Source organism: Homo sapiens, chromosome 4 (genome assembly GCF_000001405.40).
Source record: "Homo sapiens chromosome 4, GRCh38.p14 Primary Assembly".
NCBI classification, from domain to species: domain Eukaryota; kingdom Metazoa; phylum Chordata; class Mammalia; order Primates; family Hominidae; genus Homo; species Homo sapiens.
Genome location: NC_000004.12, coordinates 32,394,572 through 32,404,599, shown reverse-complemented (window position 1 = coordinate 32,404,599; position 10,028 = coordinate 32,394,572). Strand labels below are relative to the sequence as shown.

At 29.0% G+C, this 10,028-nt stretch overlaps 1 annotated feature.

Moving 5' to 3' along the window:
- Positions 7,493-8,211: an enhancer, noted in NCBI's record as "OCT4-NANOG hESC enhancer chr4:32398011-32398729 (GRCh37/hg19 assembly coordinates)". NCBI's record gives its function as "activates a minimal SCP1, AML or CMV promoter by ChIP-STARR-seq in naive H9 embryonic stem cells {active_cell/tissue: H9 hESC(naive)}" and the evidence as "EXISTENCE:reporter gene assay evidence [ECO:0000049][PMID:30033119]".

Here is a 10,028-nt window from a genome sequence, read left to right as displayed (position 1 = left end):
GAGTTATTCATTATTTGAAACTTGCATCCCTTTATAATAAACAATGTACCAACTTTCAAAATCTCATTTTGTTACATAGGATGCACCTTCTAGTTTTGATTACTCATCACACACAACTCCAGTTTCTTATTGAAAATAAAGAAGTTAGAGTATATAGTCTTCATTTATTTTTCAAATCCAAAATTCTGTCATTATATATCAATGACATTAAAAAATTGTAAGTGTGTAACTCACATGTGTTTCTCTAATATATGGAATCTCTCTCTCTCTGCCTCTCTGTCTCTCTCTGTCTCTCTGTCTCTGTCTCTCTCACACACACACACACAGAAACACACACGCTGCATTACTTTATAAATTTTTTCATCGCAGGGGAAATAAATAATTTAAACTATTTTATTGTTTTTGAAATTAGTAAGATAATTACCTTCCTCATTTTAAAAGGTAAACTGTTCCAGTTTGGGGATAATTTCCTTATTTTGTAGCATGGATATATTTGAGTAGTACCCATTTCTCTTTACATTATTCCATAGAAAATAAGATTGCAAAACTGAAAATGATAGTCCATTTATCAATGAGTTTTACTCTATTATTTCATATTTTATGAGAAAAAAATGAATAAAATTATTACCAGAAGTAGAAATATGATTTATTATCTAATTCAGAGCAAAATAATGCTTTATGGAGGTTGAACATGCATTTTATATTGTTATATCCTTGAAAAGTAAAAAGCTTTAAAAATCATGAACTACTAAATCAAATCAATTTATTAAATGCAATTATCCACTGCCCTTTTTTGCTTCATTGCTGATTCTGTTCAATTAAACATTAGCAGTATTTTATTATTTTATAATAAAAAGCCACTTTAATGTCTAAATTCATATAGTTTCCTATGAAACAGTGATATTGGAATGCATTCATCAACAATAAATTGAACTTTGTTTGAATACATGTATAAACTACATTACTAGAAAGACTTTTAAAGGACATTTGCCACAACCATCTATTTGATATTTTAATACCATCAATAATAATAAGTTAGAAAATATCTTACTTGATTAAAAATTAACTAAGTAGTCAGAAACCAATGCTGTCCATTTCCTCAGGAAAAGTATACTGAAAAAAGAAAAGTGTACTGAAAAAAGGCTTGCTGACTAATCAGCACTGGTTAGTCTTGCATATATTCACACATCTGCTACAACAATTGGGTTGGAAACTCACTAATGTTGATCAACATTTGTTCTTAAGCATATTTATGCCAATTGTAGCTGTCATTGTAATCATCTGGTTTATTTACTATCTGATATTTTTAATGCTGGTGTAAAATGAGTTTTTTTAATGAAAACTAAGATGGATAATTGCAAAGAGCTATTAATGGTGAATTATTGACAATATTCTCTTAAATCACTTATTACAAAAAGTGTACGCATTTGAGGGAAACTTTAAAAGATAGAAGGATTTTATATGAGATTGCTTTGCAAATATATTTAAGATAGAAGACACAAATTCAAATCTATAAATGCATTATGAGTGTGGTTTTTCCAAGAAAGGCTAATTAAAACTCAGTCAGATGCCAAAAGAGACAGAAAGAAAATCTAAATACCATTGGCCTTACATGATATAATAAGTCATAAAATATTGTTTGTATGATACATGGAAGGTTGAAGCAACTAAGAGACTGTCTGAATAATAGGGAAAGGGGTATAGAAAATTTATCTTGAGAGACAAAGTGCCAAAAATTGTATAATTTAAAAAATATTTCCACTCCACTTGCAATATATGCAATATACAGTTTATTTTAATTTTAAAGGCTTTCACAGCAGAATTTATGTATGCCAAATTGGATATATGAAAAGTATTCAATTATACAAGCTTTGAATATACAGATACTTGATATATCTCTATATCATATACAGATATGTGTATACATAGCTCTCCAAAAATATATATATATATAATGAATACATTACCACATACAATAGTTTATGCCACTTCCCGGCCCTTCTCAACAGATACTTACAGGCTTTCTTTCACTAAAGATTATTTTGTACTTTCTAAAAAGTAATTATTTGTTTGGATTTTCCACTCTGAATATTATTTTGAAAATTTTTGTTTTGCTTCTTCCGGTTAATGTGCCATTTGCATGTTACTGCAATATGTATTGTGTTATCATTGGATTGAATATTCCAAAAATGTCAATTAGGCATATTTAGCTGATAGTGTTATTCAAAATATCTACATTTTACTATATTTTTACCGCTTTTTAAAATCAATTACCAACAGATCACTAAGACTGTTGATTTATTTCCTACTTCATTTCTATTAGTTTTTGCTTCAAATATTATAAAACACTAGTATATAAGAGCATAAATATTAAGGGTGTTTATGTTCTTCTTATGAATTAAACCTTTCACCAGTATAAATGACTCTTTTTTTCCAGGTAATATTTTTTGCTCTTAAATCTACTTTATCTGATGTTAACATAGCCCTTTCAGTTTTCTTTGATTAGTTTTAGGATGGTATATATTTACTCACAGATTTACTGTAACCTATTTGTGTATTTATATTAATGTAGTATTTCTGAAGGCAATATAGAGTTAAACCTCATGTTTCTTATCAAATATGAACAGGCTTGATTTTGATGTTTAGACAACATACATTAATGTGAATATTTATGTGATTAGGTATAAACCATCTTTCTGCTGGTTTTTTATTGTGTAACTTTGTTCTTTTTTCCTAATTTGTATCTACTATTTTATTGAGCATTTTTATTCAATTTTAACCTGCTTTTAGATTATTTCTAAATATTTAAAAAGCACTTGATTTATTGTTAATTGTATAAAGCATTATTCACAGTCTAATTTGAAATAACAATATACATAATTGCATCAATTATAATCATTTACAGCAGAATGATTAATTATATTTTCCTTCCTCTGCTATTTTTGCCATTTATGTTACCTATACATATGTTAAAACCACATAGTACATTACTATCATTTTGCTTAATAGTAATCCATTTTTTATAAAAAGCATTTTATATTCACCCACAAATTTGCTAGTTCCAAACATCTTCATTACTTTCTGTAGGTCCAGATTATCATACAGTAACTTTTTTCTACTCCTGAAAATACTTCATTTTATATTCCTTTATTGCATTCCTACTGGTGATGTTTCCATTGTCTTTTGTATGTCTAAACAATTTTATTTTACTTTTATTTTTGAAAGATTTTTCACACTGAATAAATAATTCTATGTTGACAGTTTTCTTATTTCTTGCCTTTTAAAGAAATATTTCTTAAAAATTGCATTCTTCTGCCTTGAATTTTTCTAATGAGAAATATCTATCAATCTTCTCTTTGTTCTTCCGCATGTAACACATAATTTTTTAAGAGACTTAAAATTTCTCCTTATCACTGATTTTAACAAATAGCATTTTGATGTGAGTGGTGCAATATTTTGCAGTTTATTATACTTAGATTCTGTTGAGCTTCTTGGAATACTGGGTTTATATTTTTTACCAATTTTTTTTTTACCAATTTTGCCAACATGGCAAATTTTAACTATTATTTCTTCTAGTATTTTTCACTCTCATCTCTCCTTCAGGAACTCAAATTACACAAATATTAGATTGTCTAAAATTGTGCTACAGATCTCTGATATTTTTTATTTTTTATCAGTATCTATTTTCATTTGTTTCACATTGAAAAATGTTTATTGCTATGATTTCAGTTAACTAATATTCATCTACAGAGTCTAATCTGTTTTTAATTCCATTTAATTCATTTTTATCTCCGATATTATAGTTTTCACTGTTAAAGTTTTATTTGAGTTTTTATTCCATCTTCTATGTGTCTGCTTGACAGGATCTAGATTTAGCTTCTTGGTTTGTGAAATATGGCTATAATAACCATTATAATGTCATTTCCTTGGGAAGTTTTTTCCTGTTTTTTTGTTTTGTTTTGTTTTCTCACTCATGTGCCAACCAGTCCTCAGCTGAAGATTCAAAGGGAACTCTTGCACATCTCAAGAGCTCTCTACGTGAAGCTTTCCAAATCTGACATACTGCCATTCCTAGACTTTCCAGTCTTTCCAAACTTCCAAACCATCTTTTCAGCTTAACAAGACTAGTAAGCCATTTAGCCTACAATTGAATAATTTTAGGGCTGACCTCGTTTACTTCTCTGCTTTCATGAATCCCTGCTCTATATTTCCTGACATTCAATGACTAAAACGATTGTTGAATATATTTCTTTCAAATTTTTAATTGCTACTGAGAAAAAAGTAATTCTACTCCAGTCACTCCATTTTAGTTGCAATAAAAAGCTTCAATGCATTTATACAAGTGTTTGAATGTTTGTGGTATTTTTATTGATAGGTAATAATGTCATTGGATACATATAAAATTATTTTCAGAAAGAAAAAGAAAAACTGTCTTATTTAAATAGCTCTAGCTCTCATTGTAAGTAAATATAAAATATGTAATAGTAAATATAAAATAACAAAAATATGAAAGAATAATTTTTAAAGTAGATTATAAAATAACATGAGTTTATAAGAATAAAATTTAATTTTAGTGCTTTATATATGTTTAAAATAATCAATTATGTGACTAATATAGAATGCAACAAAAGCAAATTGGTGTAAATATTAGAAATAAAATCTCCCTATTTGATATTTACTGAAGTAATTATACATGTAATGGCAGAATTCCAGAAAAGACAAAATCAAACCCAATAATCACTATTTCCTATTGAGAAACAAAACCAGTATATATATATGTGTATATATGTGTATATATATGTGTATATATGTGTATATATGTGTACATATGTGTATATATGTGTATATATGTGTGTGTATATATGTATATATATGTATATATGTGTATATATATAGTGTGTGTGTATATATATGTGTGTGTGTGTGTATATATATACACACTGGTATATGTATATATATATGTGTGTGTGTGTGTATATATATATACACACACATATACCGGTATATGTGTGTATATATATATGTGTGTGTGTGTGTGTGTGTGTGTGTGTGTATATATATATAGATATACCAGTATATGTATATATATATACCAGTATATGTATGTATATATACCAGTATATGTATATATATATATACACCAGTATATGTATATATATATACCAGTATATGTATATATATACCAGTATATGTATATATATATACCAGTATATGTATATATATATACCAGTATATGTATATATATACCAGTATATGTATATATATATACCAGTATATGTATATATATATACCAGTATATGTATATATATATATACCAGTATATGTGTGTATATATATATATATACCAGTATATGTATATATATACACACACACATACACACACACACACACACACACACACACACATATATATATATACACACACACACATACTTCTGGTTTCTCAATATGAAACACAGAGAAAATATTTATTGTTGAATCATGATAATGTACATATTGTTTTCTACTACTCTGTTTTCATCCATTTTAAGTCTTTCATAATAATTTATGTTTAAATAGGTGAAACAGAAATAAGAATAAAATATATGAATTAAAACAGAGAATCACTGGGCTGCTTGAATGTGACTAGGACCTTGTTTCAAATTGGGAGATTCGTATCAACATTGGGCTAGGAAGATAATATTATCACATGTAACTGATAATTTTAGCTCAGTAACTAAAAAATGTACAGTTAAATGAAAATAAATGATTTATACAGTTGAAAGACAAAGTTTAAAATATTTCAACATTTAAACTTTGGATGATATAAGTAATGCTTGAGGCATAGAAATTTAATGATTGACTGGTGAAGTCAATTGAATGATAATTTGCAACACCTGTTAGTATCTGAGGGCTAACTTTTAAAACTGAATTCTGCATTGGAAGTTTGTTCGGTGTGACAGGTAAAGGACCAGTAAAATACCATAGAACAGAAGCCAAGCATGAAAGTGAAGACAAAAGAGATCTTGAACCAAATGAAGCTCAATTAATAGACTCAATTAAAACTTGAAAGATGCCAGTGAATTTGAAAATTAAAAGGTTATTTTTTGCTTTAAGCATTTAGTTTAGTGGCTTTGAAATCATAATATAGAAGGATTAAAAGAAAGTAATTGGGAATAGCATTTGTAATTTATTATTTTGAGATATTTAGCTATAATAAGAAAAAGTGAAAATGGTGTTTTGAAGGAGCATAAAACTAGATTGATTGTTCTTCCCCTTTTGACAGAAGAGATTCTGTTACAGGTTTGCAAAGGTCAGAGAGCTAGTAAGAGAAGAGAGATTTGTAACTTGTGATGAAATATCTGTGTCTGATTCTTGGAAGGAGGATGTGATATAATTAGGATGGATTAGAAAGTGTGCATAGTTTTGAAAGATGGACAAGGATGAGCATAGGAGAAAACTAAGGGATGCCATTAGAAATATTCTTAAACCTACAATTGAAGTGATTTACATTGGATAATGTTGGTATTATAAAAATATGCTAACATTCATCTATTGAAAGTAAAATGTTTATAGGTAGCTAGTTTTAAGATTGGAGGATGTGGACTTAGGATAGAAACAGAACATAAAGGAAAATCTTAAAATAGAATTCAAAATCTATATCTAGAGGGCAAAAAGATCTGTCAAGGCTTGAGGTCATAGCTGCCAGAACAATTGTATTTCTGGTATGGAGGTCAGGAATATCTCTATTTGGTTAGTGTATTTAATTTGAAGAAAATGTTGTCATCCACACAATTTGTCATTTTTATTTAACACTTATATATGACCATACCATTAACTGGATGGCTTATTTAAACTGTTAGAAGAATACAAGGATACAAACAATCTAATAATTTGAGGTGATATGGCTGCATGTCACATAATAATAGCCTTTAAAAATATCCATGTTTTCAAAATGTACCTAGAGGTCCTCATGGAATTTAAATTACTAAGTGCTGTGAGAAAGCAGATATAAAGTGCATTTTGATAGCAAGACTCATTTGCAGAGAGGCCTGAAAGAGAAAAAATGGAGTTCTTTCAGGTTACTACTTACCCACGACAGTGATTACTGATTTTATAATATGAGGTCTATAACTGAGATAAAAGCAATGGTAGAGCTTCTATATCTCATTCATTGGTTTGTTTGTCTATTATGTAATATAAGAAGATAAGACATTTTTCAAAGATATCTCAATATGCTTAAAATAATCTCTTAATGGTGGAATAGGTGGCTGGTTTTATAATTGGCTTTAAATGAACAAGCATAAACAAATAACCAAATTAACACTTTTTAGAAAGTCAGAAACAGAGGAAATACTACATTTTTAAACTTTAATATTTCATAACACTGAATCCCTTTTTATATGTCTAGGTAGACACTTGACTATATGTTATACTTAAATTTTGTTTAAAATTATTTATGTCTTTTCCCATTAGTATTGGAAAATGCTAAATTCTAATGATTAATTGAGATCAATTAGTAAAATATAATTAATGAAATGAAGATGTGAGAAAAATGTTGTTGACCCTTGTCACAGGTTGCTTTCGAGGACAGAAACACACTGTGGTGGAGTCTAGTGGGCTAAGTGATATTGACGGTATTAATTGAAGTCAATGCCTTTGGAAGGGAGGGGATGGAAGCATAACCAGGGAGAGAGAGAAGTTGATCTATGATGCTGTCCTGATGCCTGCCTTAGCTGACACAAAAGAGAGCTCCACAGCTTGAATGGTCGATCAGAATCATATTGCGTTACCTTAAAATGTCTCATCGTTTTTATGGCCACCTCAATCAGTCATTGGACATCAGCTGCCCTGGGAGGAGACTGACCTTGGACAATGTGGCTCTTGAAAGGTTAGGCAATCCCTAAATCGGCTGACAGCTGGATCCCAATTGTCTGACAATGGCAATCTCATCAGCATTCACACGTCCTTTCTTAAAGGTGGAGCTGGGTGACACATCATGATTTCAGCCATAGACATTAAAGGTGGGATCAGTGCACATTCTTGTGTATTCTTTCTCAATTCAAAGGGGTCTTAGGGTTTTTCAATACATTTTATTTTATATAATAAAATGAAATTTGACAAATCCATTATAATATTAAATTAGGATTTTCAATGTTTGGGTGGTTTTTTATATATTCAGTGTATTTTTCTATGGCTCAAAATATCAAAATATAATTAGTTTAAAAAATATGAGACATTGGTTGTCTTCTTCATGCTTTCAATATCGTGCTGTGTTTATCTGGCTCATGGTTTATGCCAATCTTACTGCATTTTTAAATTTCATTTTATAAACGTATCATTATTCTCTAAATTTCCACAAAGACATTCTCCCTCAGTTTAAACTTTGGACATAACAAAATGCCAGGAACATAGTATCAAATCCACCAAATTTTTTTTTTTGAATTTTTTTTGAATGAAGGAGAATTGCTTCATGTCGGACTACAAAGATGCTGGTTGAATGGAAGCTTGACACATGAATCTTCCACATGCCTTGCCTATGAACCATGAAGTTTGCAAATTCATGAAGTCTAGTCTACTCCACAGAATCCTTATCTTGACTTCATAATTTAAACATTACAAGGTCATCAGTGAGCAAGTATCATCCATGAGCATGAGTAATGGGAGGAAGATAAAATCATTGACAGCTGATAGTGGATACTGAAGAGCTTTATTGCCAGAACTGACCTATCAGACATCCTGGTTTAAATTTTCTATTGAAATAATTTACAATCAATTTAATATAGCCAAGTTTTTTTTTCCTGGAGTGTCTGTGGTTCCATATTGGGGTAAGAACATCATTAAATGTCCAAAGGAAAACCTACACACTGTAATAGCTAAGTCTTAAAACTATTTGCAAAATTGAAGCTGTTTTTGTACTGTATTCACATAAGACTGTTCCAATTATTAAGTATTTTATATAAATTGTTTCATTTTTGTTACCTCTATAAAGTTTTTATAGAAAATATGTAGCTGCCATAGAATATTAAATAAATCATTGCCATCAATATAAATTAGCAAATACTTAATTGTATTTATTAAATTACATTTTACTCAATTTTACCTTATATATTATCAAGATAGTATGTCCTATATTTTGAAAGTACTGTCCTAAGGAATAGTTCAGTTATTCCTTTTTCCTCAGCCAATCACATCCCTCTGATTTTTTTTTTAAACCTAGAGATATAACTAGTTTGAAAGGATTGAAACTAAAACTACATTTAAAAATTGATTATTATCTTAACTTCAATGAGCAGGATTTCTGTTTTTCAGTGAGGTTCATTAGTAAAAATACTAAAAAGCATTGGGTTTAAACTTAATCAGAAAATGTTTTATCATCCTGGGTAATATTTAAATCTGCCACCTTGCTTGGAATAAGATTTAGAATGGGGGAATTAGAAAGATGAAAACTCTTATTTTCTCATAAAACTATATGGTTGATAGAAACTTTGAGATGTCATGTAACTTCACCATCAAACTTTGTTATTATTATGTTTTAATAATTTCAACTTTTATTTTAGATTCAGCGGGTATAGCTGCAGGTTTGTTATATGAGTATATTGTGTGATGCTGAGGCTTAGAGTATGAATGATGCCATCGCCCAGGTTAGGAGCAGAGTACACAACAGGTGGATCCATCTTCACCTTCTCTTTTCTAAAATAAAGTCTTAATTTACATTTTAATAACCTAGTACATTCTGAAAGTTTCTAAAAATGTTATGTTTTATAAAATGTGGAATTTCAAACTAAAATAATTTGCATACATTAATTTGCAATTACGTCAAGAAGCTTTCACATTTCTAATTTTCCACACTGTAATTCCTATGCTATTATTATTATTTGTATTACTCCTAATTTCATAAGCTGTCATTAGAAAATATTGGCCAATGATATATCCCTGACTTTACGGCTTTGTCATTATTTAGATCATTAGTATGAATAGTTGCATTTAAGGTAGACCGTATACTTGTTTGCTAATATTTCCTCTTCTTTTTTTGTCTGTTGTTTTGC